We start from the raw sequence: 22,003 nt of genomic DNA, 5'->3' as shown, positions 1-22,003 counted from the left end.
TGTGAGGAGACCAATATGCAAACTCTGTGCTCAGCAGACTGTGGAGTTTCTGTTCTTGGTTGTGCTGGGGGTCCCAGAAATCTTATTCAAAATTTTTCTTTCCTCCCCCACTGGTTGTCCTTTTCATAGACATCTCACCTATGATAGAAGGGAATCAGTCCCTCTAAACTATTCCCTAAGAACAACAAAGAGATTATGAAGGTGATGATGAGGATAAAGAGGATGACGACAGACACCATGGCATCATGAACCCTTAACTGAAGGCTTCCTAAAGGCCAGGCTCTGAGCTCTGTGCTCTATGCAGCTGGTTTCATTTCATCTGCATAGTCTCCACGTTATTAGTGCACATTTCATGATGATTTTACAGACTAGAAAAGGCGCAACGGAGTTTCATGTAGCTTGTACCAGATCATGAAGTCAAAAAGGGTGAAGTCCAATTTGAACCAGGCAGTCTAAGTCCAGACTTATGGCATTTGGCCAGTCCTCTCCCTGCATCCAACCTGCCCTCTCAAATCCTCATCACTCAGGCCGATGGCCCTGCTCACTGTGCCCTTCCCTTTGGGGGTTCCTTGTAGACCACAGCTAGACCAGTGGGTGCCACAATGACTGTGTCATGTATAGAAAGGGCAGCTGAGATCACATCAAGGATTCCAGAAAGAATTGTCACAGGATCATTCGGGACGCATCCCTACCTTGCCCCTGTTCCTGGCTTTTCTTACAGCTCTCGACTTCCTCAAAGGAGTCATCAATTCGGAGTTTGGCTTCCATTTCTATTGAGGAAGCTGGAAAGCATTTCGAAAATGCTCTTCTGATGTGCCTGTGGTTAAGACCTCTGAGCTCTGCTTAAAACTTTTGGAAGCTGGGCGCGGTGGCTCATGCGTGTAATCCCAGTCCTTTGGGAGGCTGAGGCAGGCGAATCACAAGGTCAGAAGTTCGAGACCAGCCTGGCCAACATGGTGAAACCCTGTCTCTAATAAAAATACAAAAAAAAAAAAAAAAATAGTCAGGCATGCTGTCGTATGGCTGTAATCCCAGCCACTGGGGAGGCTGAGGCAGGAGACTCCTTTGAAGCCGGGAGACAGAGGTTGCAGTGAACCGAGATCACACCACTGCACTCCAGCCTGGGCAACAGAGCAAGACTCTGTTTTAAAAAAATAAATTAATAAAAATTACGAAAAAATGTGCTTGGATGGGCTTGGCAAACTTTAGCCATTATCTCACGTACCACTTTGGAAGGGCATACCTTCAGTCACTTCACCCTTTAATTCCTTTGCTCAAGACTAAAGTTCTGAGAGGAAGTCTAATCGGCTGAGTTGTGTCCATGTGGGCAGTGCAGTAAAGGGTGCAGTGGGAGGCGGCTCCAGGGACGTCTTTGGCTTCCATCATGGGGGATCAAGCACCTGGATTATCCACCCTAAGAAATCTGGACAAAGGAAAACGAGGTTCTCTGAGGAAGGAGACATAGAGCCCAAGGAGCTAACCAAGAGACAAATAGTCATCCTGTCTTGTCATTTTCTTTTACACATGTGTGTACATTATCTTACACTTATCACTTTGTTTTCTTTCTCTCCTTTAATTGCACCCTGTTGCCAAAAGTTAAAATAGAATGAAAGTATTGAGATAGCTCAGTAACTGACTTTTGGTCAATTGCCTTTTCATATAGTGAACAGCTGTCCAAACGATTGTCTCTGTCACTGTGCAAATTTGCAAGCGTTTGCATGATTACTCCCAATCCCCCAACACAGGGCTGTGTTACAGCACAATTTAGTTCAGTGTTTTGCTCTCTGCAACAGGGAGGTTCTCATCCATTACAGGTTGCAGTAAAAACAGGGGTACCATAAGCAACCACCTCTTTCCTCAACGATGTGATGAAAGCAAAAGCCAAGTAGCTCCATGTATCCAACTTAAAAATATAAAAAGTTACGCCCGTGGGCTGCAGTTGGAGCTATGGCGGCGGCAGCTGTCACAGGGCCTAGCCCAGGGTGTGGACCGGGGGACTCCCCAGATGGGCCCGATGTGGAGGCTCACGGAGCGTCGGCGGAAGGCGCACAGGATGCTAAAGCTTTACAACGGCCTTTCGGAAGGGGAGGCCGTGGGACTCCCCGCGGGGCCCGACCCCCTGGACCCCACTGATCTGAACGGGGAGCACTTCGACCCGGAAGTTTACCTAGACAAGCTGCCTAGAGAGTGCCCTCTGGCCCAGCTGATGGACAGTGAGACAGACATGGTGCAGCAGATCCGGGCTCTAGACAGAGACATGCAAATTCTGGTCTATGAGAACTACGTTAAGTTCATCCCAGCCACAGAAATTGACAAACAGCATAAAACTGTATGAGGAATTGCAGGAGACCCAGAATTTCCCAAATAACCTTGTAAAAGAGGAACAAAGTTGGAAGACTCACACACAAAAAATACATATATATATATAAAGTTGTGTTTTCATTCAGTTGTAAATGTTTAGTAATTTCTATTGTGATTTTTCATTTAACTCATGAAAGGATATTTTTAATTTTCCTAATGTATGCTTGTGTTTAGCTATCTTCTTGCTGTTGACTTCTACTTTTGTTGCATTATGGTCAGGAAAATGTGGTCTGGACAATGTCAATCGTATAGTGGATTTTGTTGAGACTTCTTTATGGCCTAATATGTGGCCAGTTTTTTTTTTTTTTTTTTTTTTTTTTTGCAAATTTGCCACATGTTGTTAAAAGGAATGTGGATTATTTGTTTTTTTAGGAGAGTTTTTATTTTTAAATAGATAAGTTTCTCAGTATAATTGAAATCTAGCTTCAATTAACAATATGCTAGATCTCTCAAACCTTAGGATATTAGTCAGTGTAACAATAGACTGCTGCTGAGATGAATAAACCCTGAACTCTCAGTGGGTTGGCACCCATAGCATAGTCTGGTGCAGGGCAGGGGTTCTCCTTGGGGGCCCTTGTCCAACAGTGATTCAGAGATTCTGGAGGTTTCCATCTTTTAATTCTGTCATCTCAGAGTTTTTTGCTTGTAGCCATATGGATAGGAAGAGAGGGAACATAGCTCACACTTGTCTTTGATAACCTTGGCCTGAAGTTATTTCTTACATTCCTATTGGTGGAAATGCAGTCACATGGTTGCAAACTAACTGCAAGTGAGGCTGGGAAATGTAGTCTTTCTGCATGTCCAGGAAGAGGAATCGTGTGAACACAGCATTGTCTTTGACACACTAAGCATGTGCTGAAGAGTTCTTACTCTTATAGGAGGTTTGTCTGCCCTGTGTAACTTTCTCAGTTTTTGCTTAGATAGTTTCAGGCAATGTTGTTTGGTGCATTCAGCTTGATGATTATTATGTCCTCTTGGCAAAGCAGTCAAGATTCCCATCAGTTTGAATGGAAGTGTTTTACAAATAGGTCAGGAAATGTTAATACTTTAAAAGGCCCTTCTATTCCTCCACTCTACAGATAAGAACAACAGAGTCCTAGAGAGAGGAGGTCATGGGTCTCACTCATGAGTGGCACAATTGAAACCAACATGGCAGTAACTTTGCCTTTCCCCCATCATGTTGTTCTCCCTCTATCTTCACTCTGCTGATTTCTTCACTTGCTCCATACAGACCTCCCAGTGCCAAGTGTATAAGTGTGCCTGGAATTGGTGGGTTCTTGGTCTCACTGACTTCAAGAATGAAGCCGTGGACCCTCCTGGTGAGTGTTACAGTTCTTAAAGGTCGTGTGTCTGGAGTTTGTTCCTTCTGATGTTCGGATGTGTTCGAAGCTTCTTCCTTCTGGTGGGGTTCGTGGTCTCGCTGGCTCAGGAGTGAAGCTACAGACCTTCATGGTGAGTGTTACAGCTCTTAAGGCTGCACGTCTGGAGTTGTTCATGTCTCCCAGTGGGTTCACGGTCTTGCTGGCTTCAGGAGTGAAGCTGCACACCTTATCAGTGAGTGTTACAGCTCATAAAGGCAGTGTGGACCCAAACAGTGAGCAGCAACAAGATTTATTGCAAAGAGCAAAAGAACAAAGCTTCCACAGTGTGGAAGGGGACCCCAGCGGGTTGCCACTGCTGGCTCGGGCAACCTGCTTTTATTCTCTTACCTGGCCCCACCCACATCCTGCTGATTGGTCCATTTTACAGAGAGCCTGAGTGGTCTGTTTTGACAGGGTGCTGATTGGTGCGTTTACAATCCCTGAGCTAGACACAAAGGCTCCCCACGTCCCCACTAGATAAGCTACATACAGAGTGTCCACAGAAAGGTTTTCCAAGTCCCCACCATAGTAACTAGATACAGAGTGTCGATTGGTGCATTCACAAACCCTGAGCTAGACACAAGGTGCTGATTGGTGTGTTTACAAACCTTGAGCTAGATACAGAGTGCCAATTGGTGTATTTACAATCCCTTAGCTAGACATAAATGTTCTCCAAGTCCCCACCAGACTCAGGAGCCCAGCTGGCTTCACCCAGTGGATCCCACACAGGAGCCGCAGGTGGAGCTGCCTGCCAGTCCCTCTCCGTGCGCCCACACTCCTCAGCCCTTGGGTGGTTGATGGGACTGGGTGCCGTGGAGCAGGGGGCGGTGCTCGTCGGGGGGGCTTGGGCCACTCAGGAGCCCATGGAGCAGGAAGGCTAAGGAATGGTGGGCTGCAGGTCCCAAGCCCTGGCACACGGGGAGGCAGCTAAGGCCTGGTGAGAAGTCGAGCACAGCAGCTGCTGGCCCAGGTGCTAAGCCCCTCACTGCCTGGGCTGGCAAGGCCGGCCCGGCAGCTCCTAGCGAGGGGCTGCCAAGCCCATGCCCACCCAGAACTCCAGCAGGCAGGCAAGCAGCACACATAGCCCCGGTTCTGGCTCATGTCTCTCCTTCCACACCTCCCTGCAAGCTGAGGGAGCCAGCTCCTACCTTGGCCAGCCCAGAAAGGGGCTCCCACCATGCAGCTGTGGGCTGAAGGGCTCCTCTAGTGCCACCAAAGTGGGACCCCAGGCAGAGGAGGTGCCGAGAGTGAGCGAGGGCTGTGAGGGCTGCCAGCACGCTTTCACCTCTCATAAGGAGTGATTAATCTGAGCTTCTCCAGAAAGTCTATTCCTGGTAGGCACTGGGAATAAGAAATCTCAGAGTATAAAAAAAAGCAAGTGGGCTGGGCGTGGTGGCTCACGCCTGTAATCCCAGCACTTTGGGAGGCCGAGGCGGGCGGATCACGAGGTCAGGAGATCGAGACCACGGTGAAACCCCGTCTCTACTAAAAATACAAAAAATTAGCTGGACGCAGTGGCGGGCGCCTGTAGTCCCAGCTACTCGGGAGGCTGAGGCAGGAGAATGGTGTGAACCCGGAAGGCGGAGCTTGCAGTGAGCGGAGATCGCGTCACAGCACTCCCGCCTGGGCGACAGAACGAGACTCCGTCTCAAAAAAAAAAAAAAAAAAAAAAAGCAAGTGGTAGCACTATTGTGAATGGCTCCCAAATTAGATCCTTTACCTTTTTTTTTTCTTGAAGCACAGTTGCACAAAACACGCTTAGCCTGAGATAAAGCACATATTAGAGAAAGGTTCTCTCTATAGCATTATGTATTACTCGAATGAGCATTAAAAAGAAGAGACGGGACATGCTCTCTCTAGCTATTATTACCTCCACTATACAGTTGACATACACAAGCTCATTATTGCATTATGTTTTATTCAACAAAATAACTTTAATGTTGAAGCTTAAATTGAATTTGCTAAAACGTCTTTGTTTCCAGCATAATGTGCCTCAAGTGTCTCCTTGGTGCCTGAATTTTCTCCAGAATTATAGTGCTGAAGCTATGGAAATGGTGAAATTATACGCAATCTGCAAAACAATGTGGCTAAACGTGGTAATTGGCCTTCCACATAATTAAAGGAACATTTCCTCATCAGAGCTGTTCCATCAGAGACCCAAATGCTATCGTTGTACTAATCACCCACTTAGGAAAACCTTTATTCCCAGTAGCCTATAAAAATCTGGTTATGCAAACAGATTTGCTTATTCAGTAACATTAATGGCTTCTCATAGTTAAAAAGTCATCAATGTGATTGACCTATAATCTGTTTCCTCTGTGACCAAGTGTCATTTTTATTTTGACAGTTAGGAGGCTTTTGACTCTTTCACAGCTGGCATGAAGGCACAGGGAGGGAAATCTCAAAAACCAACAACCTGTGTATTCCCAGCCTATTAATCAATAGAAAATCACTCAACTGGATTAGGGTCTTGTACCTGGCAGAAAGGCTCTTATGGACATTGGAATTGGATTTTTACACTTGATATGACACCTCCTTGAGTCAGATCAGATTTGTGTTTGATAGACTCTTGCCGAAAAATTGCTCCAGGGTCTGTGCAGTAGCTAAAGCCTTTTTTTTGTTGTTGTTGTTGTTGTTTTAAAAGCAGCATTAAATGTTTTCATGAAGACCTTCCCAGCAGTGATTTTATTGGGAATATGGTCTTTAGCTCTGGTCCTGAATAACTCACACTGAGGAAACCTCTAACAAGTGTTGTATTGGAAGATGTCTGATGGATGTTTGGTTTTAATAACAAATCGCTTCCCTTTTTCTGTCCCCTGTGTTCTATTCTCCTTTCTCTACACATTATTCTGGGAGGATTCACCTATTCCCAAAGTCCTTTCCTCTTTATTTCCATTCCAGAGCTCTCTGTATAACTCCAGGCTGATGAATCCGACTGCCCAGTTGTTATCTCCACTTGGCTGTCTGTCTTGCATTGACCTCATCTTACCTTTCCTCTCCTGATTTCCTCTTCTGCCAGGGCTCACCACGTCAGATTCACACCACCATTCACCCAGCTTCCAAAACACCTGGGCCTCATTCTTCATTCCTCCCTCTCTCTCAGTCAAGTTAGTCTACTGTCTCCTCTCCATCCTCACTGCCACAGCCTTGGTCCAGCCAACCATCCTGTCTCACTTGGTGTATTGCAACTTCCTACCTGGTCTACTCACGTCCCACTCTCCTCCAGCCAGGCTGCTCTTTTTATAGCACAAAGTGGATCATTACTCCCCTGCATAAAAACATCTACTGTCTCCCTTTGTCTACAGGATAAACACGACAAAGAGCCTTTAAGATTTGGCTCCAACTTACCTCTACATTAGTCACTTTTTACAATTATATGAACATCTCTCAGCTTCTCACCCTCTCATGTCTCGATTTTTGCACATGCTCTTCCCTCTGCTGGGAATGATCTTCCACACCTCTCCTATCGATCTGGCTAATCCCTACCATTTTCTAGTCTTCAACTGAGGAGTCCTGTAGTGGAGAAGGATTTCTCACCACCTGATAGAGATTGCATGCCCACCCATCTCCTGGCTTTTTTTTTTTTTTTTGACGGAGTCTCACTCTGGCCATCCAGCCTGGAGTGCAGTGGCACGATCTTGGCTCACTGCAATCTCCGCCTCCCGGGTTCAAGCAATTCTCCCACCTCAGCCTTCTGAGTATCTGGAATTACAGGTGCCCGCCACAACACCCGGCTAATCTTTTTGTATTTTTAGTAAAGACAGGATTTCACCATGTTGGCCACGCTGTTTTCGAACTCCTGGCCTCAAGTGATCCACCTACCTTGGCCTCCCAAAGTGCTGGGATTACAGGCATGAACAACTGCACCTGGCCGATTGGGTGCCCCTTCTTTGTGCTCCCATTGCCCCAGGCATACTGTCACCATAACTCCTACCATTCTGAGTTGAAAATGATTTTTCTTTTTGCTTTTTATTTCTCTCATTAAATGCAAAGATCATTGAAAAGAGGATGGTGGTTGTTCACTGTTGTACTCCTAACCTTTGACTGAGTGTCCTGAGGTCGGCTCTAGAGCTGTGCACACATGTTCAGACATTGGAGCACATCTTGTCTAGCGCCTCTTTTGAGGTGGCTTGGAGAAAAGTCAGTTCGTACTTCCCCTAGGATGAAACAGAAGCTTCACCTAAATCAGGAGTTCTTCAACTTCAACCTGCATTAGAATCCTCTGAGAGCTTGTTAAAAATACAGTCTCCTAGAGTCCACTCTTCAAGAGTCAGTGAGTTGCTTCATCATCAAAATATATATAGAATCTAGCAGGTCTTCAGTGCCAGCCTGGTCTGAGCCACTGTGGACTCCCGCCTGCAGAATCTCACTGCTGGTCTCCTTGCTTCTGCTCTTACCTTCTTATCATCCATTCAAATAGCCAGAGTGATCCTTTTTAAAAATTTTTTTTAAATTTTTTTGAGATGAAGTCTCACCTGTGGCTCAGGCTGGAGAGCAGTGGTGCTATCTCTGTTCACAGCAGCCTCTACCTCCTGGGCTCAAGCCATCCTCTCACCTCAGCCTCCTGGGTAGCTGGGACCACAGGCATGCACCACCACACCTGGCTGATTTTTGTATTTTTTGTAAAGACAGGGTCTTGCTATGTTGCCCAAGCTAGTCTTGAACTTCTGTTTGCGCCCACCTCAGCCTCCTGCATTTTTAGGAAGCCCCTCTTGTAGGGATTTTGATGCAGAGGCCTGGGTGCCTCATGTCTCCTCCCATCTCTCTCTGTCTTTCTGTCTCTGTGTCTGTCTCTGTCTATCTCTCTCTCTTTCTCTTTGCCTTATAGCTGCCCTGGAGACTAGACTCCGCCTTAGGCATCCCTCTGACTCCTGTTTGCTTTTACACTGAGGCTGCTTTAAGTCGCACCTTGATCTGAAGCCTTGGGCTTCTGTTCCTATTGCTTGCTTTTGTTGGAAGGGCCGTGCAGCTTCTTGACAAATTGCAAATGTGCCCACGAGTTTCCAAGTCCCCAAGAACAAAACCAGATGACAAACAAGGATGCAGCCCATGGCTGGGGAGACAGATTTCATGTCCACACAGAGATTCCAAGATGCTGAACTGAAATCCACCCCGAAACCTGTTTTCTCTCTCGTTTAAGTTCAATGTCACCTGGGGGCTTGCAGGGCAGGGCTGGTGACCAAAGGGCAAAGATGCTTTGAAAGGTCAACTGAGAATGGTATGGTGGTTGACAGATGGCACGTCAGGGCATAGATTAACATGGAAAGAGAAACTCATCCCTTCGGGGGAGTGTGTGAGGCTGGCAGCCACACAGAGGGCTTTTCCTGCAAGCTCTCGCACAGATGCAAACAGCCAGGAGGTTTTGCTTTCTGAGCCTGAGTGGAACCGTGTTCCTCCCTGCACATGGCCGCTCTGCAGCAAATGTTTATTCCTGTTGCATTGATTAAAAGTGCTTACCAGGCCGGGCGCGGTGGCTCACGCCTGTAATCCCAGCACTTTGGGAGGCCAAGGCGGGCAGATCACAAGGTCAGGAAATTGAGGCCATCCTGGCTGACACGGTGAAACCCCGTCTCTACTAAAAATACAAAAAATTAGCCGGGCATGGTGGCGGGCGCCTGTAGTCCCAGCTACTTGGGAGGCTGAGGCAGGAGAACGGCATGAACCTGGGAGGCGGAGCTTGCAGTGAGCCAAGATTGCGCCACTGCACTCCAGCCTGGATGACAGAGCAAGACTCCGTCTCAAAAAAAAAAAAATAAAGAATGTGCTTACTGAAAGGGTTTGAGGGGAGTGGTGACAGTGTGAGTTATGGCTCTGCCGGCTGCCAGTGGTGCCAGGCGCTCTGCACAGCTGTGCAAGGGTGTTTTGAAAAGTGGTTCAGCCAGCCAGGAGTGACTGGGTGTAAGTGTTGCTGCCACAACATCTTGTAGTCTGATTGGGGCCGTATTTGCAGAACCCCTAAACCACTACACTTCTTGAGGCTTAAAAATAAGCTTGCTTTTTTGTTTGTTTGTTTGTCTTGGTTTGTTTTATGAGACAGAGTCTCGTTCTGTCGCCGGGCTGGAATGCAGTGGCATGATCTCGGCCCACTGCAACCTCTGACTCCTGGGTTCAAGTGATTCTCCTGCCTCAGGCTCCCGAGTAGCTGGGACCTGGGACTACAGGCGTGTGCCATCTTGGTCCGCTCATTTTTGAATTTTTAGTAGAGACGGGGCTTCACCATGTTAGCCAGGATGGTCCGATCTCTTGACCTCGTGATCTGCCCACCTCGGCCTCCCAAAGTCCTGGGATTACAGGTGTGAGCCACCGTGCCTGGCCAAACATAAACTTACTTTCTTACCTCTTCTGCTGGACTCTATTTGCTTCTTTTCCCAAACGTCTTCATCCAAAAGAGCTTTTAGAAACAAAGTTACCCAATGCCCTTCCCTAGCCTCTCCTTGCAACTGGCTCTCAGCAGGGTGTAGGAGGAAATCCTTGACAGAACCAATTTACGTGACTGTTTGGAGGACTCTGGCTAGCCCCAGGAGGTGTTTGCATTTTTAAATTGGTTACTAGTGTCAGAATGTTTCATGAGTAAGAGCACAGCCTCTATGTTGGATGCCCTGAATTTGAATCTCAGCAAAGCCACTTTGTATATAACCAGAGGATGGATTTGGGGACTCAATGGATCTATCATGACATGAACTTTCATCAACATTCACCTGACCTCCAAAATGCCTATTCTGACTGGTAGACCCTAGTCTCGCCCTAGTGCCAGTTCAGAGCCTGTGTCCAGTGATCCTGCACAGATCTCATCAGTTCCTTTTCCCCTGTTCAGTCATCCTGGTAAAAGGCTGTGTATTCCTTCGGGGGCAGGCTGGGAGAAAAATTGACAGTATAAATTTTTGGCAGTGGAGCAGAGTCCTTTCTGGAGGGGACCTGGCTTCCCATTCAGACAAGGGACTCCGGGTCTGTGAACTGGCTTATGTCTGGGAATTGACTGAGGACTGTGACTCTGTTATTATGATTCAGATTAGACTTCTACTCACCTGACCTAGAACACTTCTGCAAACACAGATCAAGTAAAAATGTGGCAGGCTTCTTATCTATTTCACTTCTAGGAATGCCACGATCAGCTGGCACCATAGTTCTCTGCGAGTCAGGCTATTCTGGTTGCAGCTTTGACTCTGCTGTCTTTTATGGTAACTGCGTCCACATTGCCTTTGGGGATTGAGTGCTGCGATCACTTGGCCCCGGCCTCTGTACTGTGCCTATGTCATTACCCTCTTTATACCTCAGTCTCTCCTCTGTAAAATGGACATCCTAATAGCACCCACCCCCAGGGCTGCTGTGAAGTATAGATGGATTAGCATATGGAAAGTAATAGAAGAGGGTCTCAAAGCCCATGTGTCGTTATCAGAATTATTTCGTAGCAGGGGAGAGCTGGAGGAGAGAGGAAGGTGCTGAGCAGACCCATGTGCTCTCCCACCAGTGTTTCCTGAGCACCTACTATGTGCTGCCCACTGTGAGAGCTTTTAGGGTTGAAATAGGGAGCACAGCAGGGTAGGGGCCGCCATCAGGAGCTTAGTGGAGAGACCGTTGTGCAACATGGTTCCAGCGCTTGGGGTGGAGAAGCTCAGGGAGTTCAGGGGCCTAAGATCCCGGGCAGAATCATGGAAAGGACACAGCCTCCCCAGCCTCTCCTGCTTCCACTGCCTCCCTGGCCTCCTCTGCTTCCCTGGCCTCTCCTGCCTTCCTGGCTTCCCCTTCCTCCCCGGCCTCCCCAGTCTCCCCTGTCTCTCCTGCTTTTGAGGTAGGCCAGGAGCTGCTGGTACTCACTTAGCCTGTCCTGGACTCTTGGTGTAGCACCTCCATGTCCAGAAAATACCCCCGGGTTCAGCTGATCACACAGCCAAGGAAGGAGCTGCACACTGACACTAAGAGTGCATTGTGGGCTCATTCATTAGGGCATGCCTCCAAAATATTTCTCCACATTTCCTCTCTTTGCCCACCTGCATTATCTCTGTGCCTGAGACCTGGCTGGGGGCCTGCAAGGATCCCCTATCTCCTTTGTCCCTGCACTGCTGGCTCCCAGGCAATCTCTCTGCCCACCACACCTCTCACCCCTCGCCCTCCACGCTCCAGCCCCACAGTCCTCTTTCTGCTTCTTTCCCAGCCTCTGGGCTTTTGCACACGCTGTTCCCTCTGCCCGAACATGCTCCACTGGGCTGAGAACAACTCTCTGAGACCTCTCTCAGCTGTTGCTTCCTTTGGAACAGCCGCTGCTGCTGTCCCTCTCCCAGCTCCAAGACCTGCTGAGCCTCCTGTCTTTCTCAGTTCCCATGCCCCCCGCTCTTCTCCTTGGCCTCCTTTGGCCCAATTGACAATGTCCATTCTCAATGCCTTCTGACCCAGCGCTGAGCCCCACGGGGTGAAGGCCATGCCTGTCATGTTCACCACAATGTCCCCTCCCCTATCACCACGCCTGGTCCACAGTGATGCTCAGAAAAGATCTGTTGGTAGGCAATGCGAAGGTGCATTCATGTCATCCTGCAGGCGGAATTCTCCACGAGTTTTGAGCAACCTCGGGTTTCCCACCACCTCCAAATCATGCAAGACACAGGGTAAGAGCAAAGACAAGGTGGCTGTGGCCGATGTCCACCCTCTCGGGGCTTCCCTTCTCTTCTCTCCTCCTTGGGCAGGGAGACCATCGGGGTGCAAACTGGCTGGGGCAGGGAGGAGGTGCAGGGCCTGGCCAGAGCGGGCCTGGCCACGGGCAAGGGACAGCGAGCACCTGGGCCGGGACAGGTGAGCGCGGCGCAGGCCCGGGCCTTGCGTGTCCGCGGTGCGCGCCAGGCCAGCAGAGGGCGCCAGAGAGCGAGGAGCGGCCCGCGGAGGAGCCCGCGCCGGCGCCGATGCCCAGCTCCGCGCCGCGCGCACCCACCGAGCCCGCGCTCAGACGCCCCAGCTCCGCCGAGAGGCCGCTCGCGACAGGTCCTTCCTCTTCCCCAAGTGCAGGCAGAGCCCCCGGAGCCACTGCCAGCCCTTCCCGCAGCTCCGAAACCACTGGCAAGCCCCGAGGCAGGGATGGCCCTCCCAGGAGGGAGGAGGACGACGTCCCTCCCGAGGAGAAGAGGCTGCGGCTGTTGCTGGAGGGGGGAAGCGCACAGCCCGGCGACTGCGAGGACGGGGAGGACGCGCCGCGGCCGGGCAGGGAGGAGACCGGCACCCAGACAGGTGGCGACGGCAGAGGAGTAAGTGACGCGGGCGCGGGGGTCCGGGGGTGCCGGGGGCGCGGGGGTGATGGGGACGCGGGGTAGGGGCGGCGGGAGGCTCCGTAGCCGGCTCCGGGTTGAAGTTGGTAACTGAGCGGCAACTCCGGCGGGCGCGGAGTGACAGCTCGTGACGGCCTCCGAGACGCCAGCTGCCCCTTCTTGGCTGTGTGGCTTCGACTTCCTGATTCTCCCACGCCGTCCCAGAGACCCGCTGGACTCTGCGGCTAGCCAAAATGGGAGGGGGGGGCGCGTCCTGGGGGCCCCCAGCAGGGGAAGGGGCGGGGGTTGCCCTGGGCATCCTGTCTGGGGCATCTGTCTGGGACTCTGTCGGTGCCTCTCACCTGGCGAGGGGCCTGTGGTGGGGGCAGGGGGGAAGTCCCTGGCGCCAGGCTTGGCCAAGCCCTGCTCTGCTGGGCTGCGGGCTGGCGGCGCTCACCCAGCTCCTCACCTGTCCCGCATCTTCCTGTTTTTCTTCCCTTTCTGGTTGGGCAGCGAGAGTTGAGAGGAGGCAGATGGCTTCCATCCCAGAAATCGCTCTTCTCTTTCCATCCCTACAGAGAGGGCCAGAGAGGCATAGTTCCTTGCATCCCGCGGGGCGCTGTCCCTATGAGCTCCCGGTGTCCTGCACACCTGGGCCCCTGAGCCACCGGGCCTGTGTGTGTGGGATGGGGCTCCGTGGCCAGCCTGGCCTCCTGGGGTTCTCTTTCTGCTTTCCTACCCCAACTCTTCCAGCGTGGTTTTGCTGGCCTTCCACTGGGGAGGCACGTGGGTTTGGAGGGCAGATGAGGGCCCGCTGGAGAGCTGTACCCCTCAGTGAGGGCCGCCACCTTGATGGTTTTTGATGGATAATGGGGTTGACTTCTTTTTTCCTTCCATATGTTTTTATGTTTGACCATTTACTTAGCTGAGCTTGTCCGAATAATTGGATTCGTGGTTAATGAACCCCACATGGGCGAGAGGGCGGCTTTCTTTCTGAACCCATTTAGGCAGCACGGGCAGCCCTCCTCGCCGTGGGCTGCATCAGAGCCCCCCCTGCCCAGTCTTGGGGTTGCTCATGGTGACATCCTCATCTCCCCGTGCACGTTACTGCATTCAGAGCTTGGGTCACCTGGACACTGAACTCAGGTGAATTTTCTCTGAGATCCCGGGAGAAGGAGGACAGTTCTCTGGAAGGTTTTCTAGGGCCTATCACGGAAAGGATGAGAAGGGAGAGGTCCTGGTCGGGGACACAATTACGGTGGCAGTGTAACACCAGGAAACTTTATTGCGTGAAGTACCTCTCACTCCCTCTACCTCCTTCTTTTACGTGGACTCTGCCAAAGACCAGGATACTAGAATGCAGTGGATTGACAAAAGGTAGTGGGACCTTGGGAACGCGAGTCTGGAGCCAGGTGTCTGGGGTTCGCGTCCTGGTTCTGCCCCTCCTTAGCTGGCTGACATGGCACAAGCCAATTACCCTCTCTGAGCCTTACTGTCTTCAGTGGCAAATGGATCGGTCAACAGGCCCCATTGCCTGGGGTTGTTACTGCTGAGATTAAGGGAAGCTCGTCCATAGAAGCACTTAGCGTTGTGCCTGGCACATAGTGTATGGTGGATAAATGGGACTTAGGACTGAAACTCATGCCTTGGTGTGTTTTTGCAGTGATGTTTTGTTCTGGGGTGCATCACAAGAGACAAGGTCCTTGGCCGGGCGTGGTGGCTCAAGCAAATAATCCCAGCACTTTGAGAGGGGGAAGGCGGGGATCGCTTGAGCCCAGGAGTTTAAGACCAGCCTGGGCAACGAGGTGAAGCCTCATATCTACCAAAAAAAAAAAAAAAAAAAAAAGCCTGGTATGGTGGTGTATGTACCTGTAGTCCCAAGTACTTTGGAGGCTGAGGTGGGAGGATTGCTAGAGCCTGGAAAGTCGGGCTGCAGTGAGCTGTGATCATGCCACTGCCCTCCAGCCTGGGTGACAAAGTAAGACGCTGTTTCAAGGAAAAGAGAGAGAGAGAGAGAGAGACAGACCCACAAGAGTCTTAAGCCAGAATCTCCATGTTAAAATGCTTCTGGAGGCTAAAAGGATGATATGTTGATAACGAAATATTTAAAAGGCAGAAACCCCACTGAATTGTTTGGTCCACAGAGGGAAATGGGAATCGCATGACCTGAAGGATGATGGAGGAACTGAACAGAAACCATCCTTGTTTCCTGAATCTGAACATGGCACCCTCTTTTCACGGTGTCTGTATCTGCTCAGTCCGGCGGCCCCTCGAAAAGAGGGAATCTTGGTTTTCAAACTTAAAATTTGGCCCAAAGCCCACTGCTGCCCACAATGCCCGCCAGACACATTCCTCTTCCTTTTTAGTTTCTATGGGAATACTCTGTTTGAAGAACCCATGAAGCAGTGTCAGGCTGGTACGAGGATCAGCAGTGATTTCTTTGAGGAAGAGAGCCCATTTCTTCACTCACAGGCCATGTCTGAGTGGATCAAGAAGAACAGAGTGCCCTTTTATGAGATTTTGTCTGCGTAGACCATTAGCTTGGTAAAAATGTCAAAACCATCCTCGTTCTTTAATAGCAGATTATTTTGGACTGTTCTCTGCAAGAAGCAGCATGGGCATTCAGATGCTTTTAAGGATAAAATGTTCTTTCTCATCACCAGGCCTGGTGCTCTGGATGGCTGAGGTTTTAATGTGACTGGATGTCCCTTGGAGTGGCTCCCAGGCTGTGCTCTTGTGGTTGGGTGGCAAGGGGTTGCTTTATTCGTTGGTGGCTAGAGGATGTTTTAGCAGATAAATCGGGCCCCCAGGAGCCCCTGAGTGCCAAGTCCTGTTGCAGGGCAAGTGTTTATGGTGGGGACGTTTTGGGGGTGGAGGGTGGGGGGCATTGGTTTCCTGCCAATATCAGAAGTTTCACAGGCTTCTTGTGTATCCATAAACACCCGCCCCTCTGAGAAGGCCTAGAAAACTTGGCCCTCCCCAAGCCTTTATTGACCCCTTGTGAATGATCCCAGGGTGTCTGACCCACAGCTCCTCCTGGAGGGAGAGAAAAGTCCCTCCTAGGTATTTGGTTATCAACCTCAACCACTTGCTGAGCCTTCCTCAAGACCAGGCACCTAGGCAGAGATTTCTGGGTTGTCAGGCTGAACCGAGCATTCAAGGGTAATAATTCGTTGGAGTCCCTGAAATCCCTGATGGACGCACCAGGTAAAAGCATCCAGGGTTGAAACCAGATGAGGAAGGTTATTGTCAGCCTGGGGCTCCTGTAGAGGTGCATCAACGTTGCAGGGATTTTCCTTCTTGCTGAGGAGAAACCTGGGTTTCTCAGCTTTGCCACAGTCACAACACTTGGGGTCAGACCATTCGTGGTGCTGGTGTTGGGGCCATCCCGTGTTTTGTAGGATGGTTAGCAGCATCTCTGGTCTCCATCCTCTAGGTGCCATTCTACCCTCCCAGCTATGGCTACCCCAGATGTCTCCAGACGGTTTCAAATGCCATGGAGCAAGGGAGTGGTACGTGAGCAAAACCACCCCAGTTGAGAGCCATTGGTCTACACTTGTGGAAATGTTTGAGGGTGAGAGTGTCGAGCTTAGGTCCCTGCTATACCCTTTATCAGCAATGCAGTCTTGGACAATTAATACTACTCCAGGGGCCTCAGGTTTCTCATCTATAAAATGGAGATAAATGAGATACACTTTCATAGGAAGATTATATGGGATTTACTGAGATAATAAGACAGTACATGAAAAATGCTGGGCATAGCATTTTTTTTTTTTTAAGACAGAGTCTTACTCTGTTGCCCAGGCTGGAGTGCAGTGGCAAGATCTCCGCTCACTGCAACCTCCACCTCCTGGGCTGAAGTGATTCTCCTGCCTCAGCCTCCCGAGTAGCTGGGATTACAGGTGCCCACCACCACACCCGGCTAATTTTTGTATTCTTAGTAGAGATGGGGTTTCACCACATTGGCCAGGCTGATCTCAAACTCCTGACCTAAGGTGATCCGCCTGCCTCGGCCTCCCAAGGTGCTGAGAACACAGGTGTGAGCCACCACGCTGGGCTGGGCATAGCATTGTAACACAGACAAAGCACAAAATACTTGGGCAATATCTTTTTACATTTGGCTTGTCTAGACTCCATCCTGCATCCCCTCATGCACTGGTGTGGTGCAGACCAGAATATCACCCACCTAGACTGCAGAGTGGATTTGGGTGGCATCTTGGCTTTCTGCACAAGACTTGCCTGTTCCCCACCACATCCCCCTGGTTCTCAGTGTCCAGGATTCCAGGAAGCAGGGATGTGGGCAGGCAGGGCAGGTGGCCACCCAGTTCACTCCCATGCTGGGGACATGAAGAGCCAGCTGTCCAAGACAGGGTGTTTGGACCAACATCTGGGTTTCTGGATTTCCATTTGAGCACAGCTGGACTACACAGGCTGAAGCTCTCTCTGCCGAGATATAGATATTTCCCTGGCGATGATCTTTCAAGCTGACATGAAGACATGGCCACCCGCTGGAACGTGGTGTGTCTGCCGTGGCGCTCTTGTAATTTGTGAGGCAGTCTCCTGAGGAATGCAGTGCATAAGTGGGAAATGGTGGGAAGTTCTCGCATCCCCGCCCAGCCGAAAGTGCTGCCTGCGCAGGTTGGTGGACGGTCCTTTGAACAGGAAGAAGACACGGAGCACATTCCTGTTAGCTACGACAGAGAGGGGCAGGGTATGCACTGGACATTTCAAGCCCCTCCAGAGAAGCAAGTCTTACTGTGCTGGGAGTACTTGTGGAGTGGGGGCTGTGTTGCCCTGGGCTTTAATTATTTCAGGAACATTTAACCTCAGGGCTGGCAGGCTGGATCTTGATATGTGTTTCTCAGTTGGAAAGACTTTGGACCATAGGGAAATGTCTTCTCAATTCTTTTAATTTCATTAAGGTGGTCATTTTTCTTCTTGTGGCCTCTAGAATGTGACACAGAACTCAAGGGACAGGAAGGAGATGAGTTGGAGGCTGGGTCAGTGGTCCCTGCCAGTGATGCTGGTGACTCACATGACGATGTTGATGTGTAGAGTCCGGTGCCTGGTTTGGGGAATGTTCGTGGGATATGTTCCAAAGGACTGATGGACCTATCAGGTACTGGAGGTGAATGGTCAAGTCTGATCTCAGGGCTGACAGTGTCAGGCAAGGATAGGAAGTTGACGTTGGACTCATTGGCTGAGGTTGCTTGGGACCCAGGGGGCAACGTGTGCCAGGACAGATGGGTCTGGGGCTAGGAAGCCAAGTTTGGGCTGGAGACCCTGTCTTGGGAGGCATCCCGGGTAGACAGTGGTTGAGGCTATGGAAATGACTGCGATTGCCTGGGATGAGAGTGGAGACAGACAGGATGGGGGTTTTGCTCTAAGCCTGGGGAACCCACCTCCCAGGTTCAAGCAATTCTCCTGCCTCAGCCTCCCAAGTAGCTGGGAATGCAGGTGCATGCCACCATGCCCGACTAACTTTCGTATTTTTAGTAGAGATGAGGTTTGGCCAGGCTAGTCTGAAACTCCTGACCTCAAGTGATCGGCCCACCTTGGCCTCCCAAAGTGCTGGGATTACAGGCATGAGCCACCATGCCTGACCATTTTTAAATATTAATTTTTATGAAATATTTTCAAACACATTTTACCGTACATTGGAAAAGTCAGTCATGATTTGAAAACTTTATCAAAATCCAATCAGATGTCAATTAACCATTTAATTGTGGATGGGTAAGGAGACTATTTTGACCAAAACATGCTATAACAATTACCACTTATAGAAATAATCTATGTTTTAATGTTTTAGTTGAATTAAACAATCTTTTATATTCTGTCCAGGCACAGTGGCTCACACTTGTAATCCCAGCACTTTGGCAGGTCGAGGCTGGAAGATCACCTAAGGTCAGGAGTTCGAGACCAGCCTGGCCAACATGGCGAAACTGTCTCTACTAAAAATACAGAAATTAGCCAGGTGTGATGGCACACACCTCTAATCCCAGCTACTTGGGAGGCTGCGGCAGGAGAATCGTTTCAAACTGGGAGAGAGAGGTTGCAGTCAGCTGAGATCGCACCACTGCACTTCAGCCAGCCTGGGTGACAGAGCGAGACTCTGTTTCAAAAATAAATAAATAAATACAATAGAATTCTGAATTTTATTTTTAATTATTTTTGTAAAGAGAATGTCATGTTTTTTGGAGTTGTTGAATTTATTGAATTGACAAAAATTATGTACAAGAGGGTATATAACATGATGTGATTGAAGTATGTATACATTACGAAATGGCTAAATCAAGCTAAATAACATATCACCTCCCAGACTTATTTTTTTGTGGTGAGAACACTTAAAAAATCTACTCTAGTGATTTCCAAGTGTATGATATGTTGTTATTAACTGTAGGTACCATGTTGTCCCATGGATCTCCTGAACTTATTCTTCTAAATGACATTCTGTGTCCTTTGGCATCTGCCCACTTCCCCACCCTGGCAACCATCATTCTACTCTGCTTCTGTGAATTCAACTTTTTTCTTTTCTTTTTCTTTTTCTTTTTTTTTTTTTTTTTTTTTTTTTTTTTTGAGACAATCTCATTCTATTGCCCAGGCTGTAGTGCAGGGGTGTGATCTTGGCTCACTGCAGCCTTGACCTCCCAAGCTCAATCAATCCTTCTACCTCGGCCTCCTGAGTATCTGGGAGTACAGGCATGCACCACCACGCTCCACTAATTTTTGTATTTTTATGTAGAGATGGGGTCTTGCTATGTTATGCAGGCTGGTCTCGAACTCCTGGGCTCAAGCAATCTGCCGGCCTCAGCCTCCCAAAGTGCTGGGATTACAGGCATGAGCCACCATGCCTGGCCGAGTTCAACTTTTTTAGATTCCACATATAAGTGAGATCATGTGGTATTTGTCGTTCTGTGCCTGGCCTATTTCACTTAACATAATATCCTCCAGGCTCATCCATGTGGTCTCAAATGGCAGGATTTCCTTCTTTTTGAAGGCTGAATAGTATTCCACTGTGTACATACACCACATTGTTGCTGGAAGTGTAATGGAGGCCAGTTGGGGGAGGAGGGGGAGAAGATTCACTCTAAGTCTAGATGCTCCAGCACCCACCCAGGATGTGTGCAAGGAAGTGCAGGATGCTCCTGGTCTTGCAAACTGTGGTTTGTGGGACTCCAAAGCCCCTATCCTTCCACGATGCTTTCTGTCTTGTTATCACATTTCCTTGGAGGAGAACCCAGCCTTGGTGGAGGGCCCTGCTCTGGCTTTGTCCCTCGGCATGAGATGGCAAAGGATGGTGCTGCTGGGAGACCCTCACGTCTGCACACTGGGGGCTGCTTGCCTTCTCCATTCCTCCTTCAAGTATCTGAGCAGCTCCTGTGTGCCAGCTGCTGGTCTACAAGACGGATCGGTCCTTGGAGATCAAGCTGTAGCAGAGGAGGCAGGCTGTAGCCCCCAGGCCAGAACCAGCCCCCTGCCTGTTCATACAAATAAAGTTTTATTGGAACACAGCCACACCCATTTCAGTGCATATTGTCTGTGGCTGCTTTCCTGCTACAATGGAGAGTTGAATAGTTGGGACAGAGACCTATGGCCTGCAAAGCTGAATTATTTACCATCTGGCCCTCAAGAGAAAGGAAAGAAAATGCTGATCCTTGTACCCTGACAGTCTTAGGTTAAGAGGACTTTGTACCAACCTGACGTCCCAGGCGGCCATGAGTCCAGCCACCCTTGAAATGTACACAAGTCTGGGCTTGGGTTGCAGCAGGTGAGTCCCAGTTTTGCAGGTCTTTGGTATCAGGGGCACAACCCAGGATTTTGAGTGGGGTTTCCTCACCACTGTGGCTGGGCACTGGGCTAGGGTGCTTTCTGATTTTTGTATGGGGAAGAGAAAGGAGGGAGGAAATGGCCACTTGTTGCCCTGTTCTAACATTTTCCTAGATGGGTCTCCAGGCCAGGGCTTGGGATCTCACCTTGCACAGCTTACAAAACCCAGTGAGGCCAGCTGTCTTGGCACTGCCACTCTGAGGGATGGAGCCCCCAACTTACCAGGAAGGGAGATAAAAGAATGGTTTCTGCAAGCATGAGAACTGGCGTTATTGAAATTAACATTTCCCCCAAGTTTTATAATGTCTAGGCATGCATATTTAAGTGTCTGCCTCAAAAGTTCATGCTAATAACCAGATGATGCATTTAATTTCCTTTTTTTGTTCTCTGAGCAACATGCAGCTTCCTGCACAGCCCTCCTTGCAGGCAACTGCACTGAGGTGACAGTCCTCCTGACTGCCAGCACAGATCCCCAGGGCCTCTGAGAGCCCTGTATTCTGGGGGCAGCCTTTCCCCTTCTATTCGGCCCCAGCTAGAAGGGGGCAGGTTACCCACAGCCCAGCACAGGGCTCCTGCCTCAGCTTCTCTAGGGAGTCTGGCTCCCTCTGACCCTCTAGACCTCACCAGCTGAGGATCAGAGCCCCAGGGCAGAAGCCAGGGCCAGGGGGCATTGGGGGGTGGTTTGAGAGTGCAGCTCTGGAGGGGGGCAGGGCGGGCCCAGGGAAAGCTGCTCAGGGGAGACTGCAAAGAGATGGCAGAGTTAGGACAAGAGGGCCAGACATGGTGGCTCCCACTTGTAATCCCAGCACTTTGGGAGGCCGAGGTGGGCGGATCGCCTGAGGCCAGGAGTTTGAGACTAGCCTGGCCAACATGGTGAAAACCTGTCTCTACTAAAAATACAATAATTAGCTGGACATGGTGACACCTATAATCCCAGCTACTCGGGAAGCTGAGCCACGAGAATTGCTTGAACCCAGAAGGTGGAGGTTGCAGTGAGCTGAGATTGTGCCACTGTACTCCAGCCTGGGCAACAGAGCAAGATTCCATCTCAAAAAAAAAGAAAAAAAAAAAGAAAAAAAAAAAAGAAAAAGTCAGGACAAGAGGAGGAGGGAAGAGAAGGGAGCTGTGGGGCAGCAGCCCGGACCTTAAAGGCACAGAAGAAGAAGCTTGGATTTCCAATTCCAAAGGACATGAAGACAAAGACCTTTATTTAACCCGCTCCAG

General features: G+C 49.9%; 2 pseudogenes, besides 1 other annotated feature; both read left to right on the top strand.

Moving 5' to 3' along the window:
- VPS51P13 (VPS51 pseudogene 13) lies at positions 1,948-2,307 on the top strand (annotated as a pseudogene).
- LOC100130459 (serine/arginine-rich splicing factor RSZ22A-like) overlaps positions 12,161-22,003 on the top strand; it is a 21,399-nt pseudogene continuing 11,556 nt past the window's right edge.
- Positions 12,473-12,582: a silencer, noted in NCBI's record as "silent region_15213". NCBI's record gives its function as "represses an Ori minimal core promoter by ATAC-STARR-seq in GM12878 lymphoblastoid cells {active_cell/tissue: GM12878}" and the evidence as "EXISTENCE:reporter gene assay evidence [ECO:0000049][PMID:35858748]".

The sequence above is a fragment of the Homo sapiens genome, chromosome 4, assembly GCF_000001405.40.
Source record: "Homo sapiens chromosome 4, GRCh38.p14 Primary Assembly".
Taxonomy (NCBI): domain Eukaryota; kingdom Metazoa; phylum Chordata; class Mammalia; order Primates; family Hominidae; genus Homo; species Homo sapiens.
The sequence above is the reverse complement of the archived record's forward strand: the minus strand, read 5'-3'. Positions and strand labels throughout refer to the sequence as shown.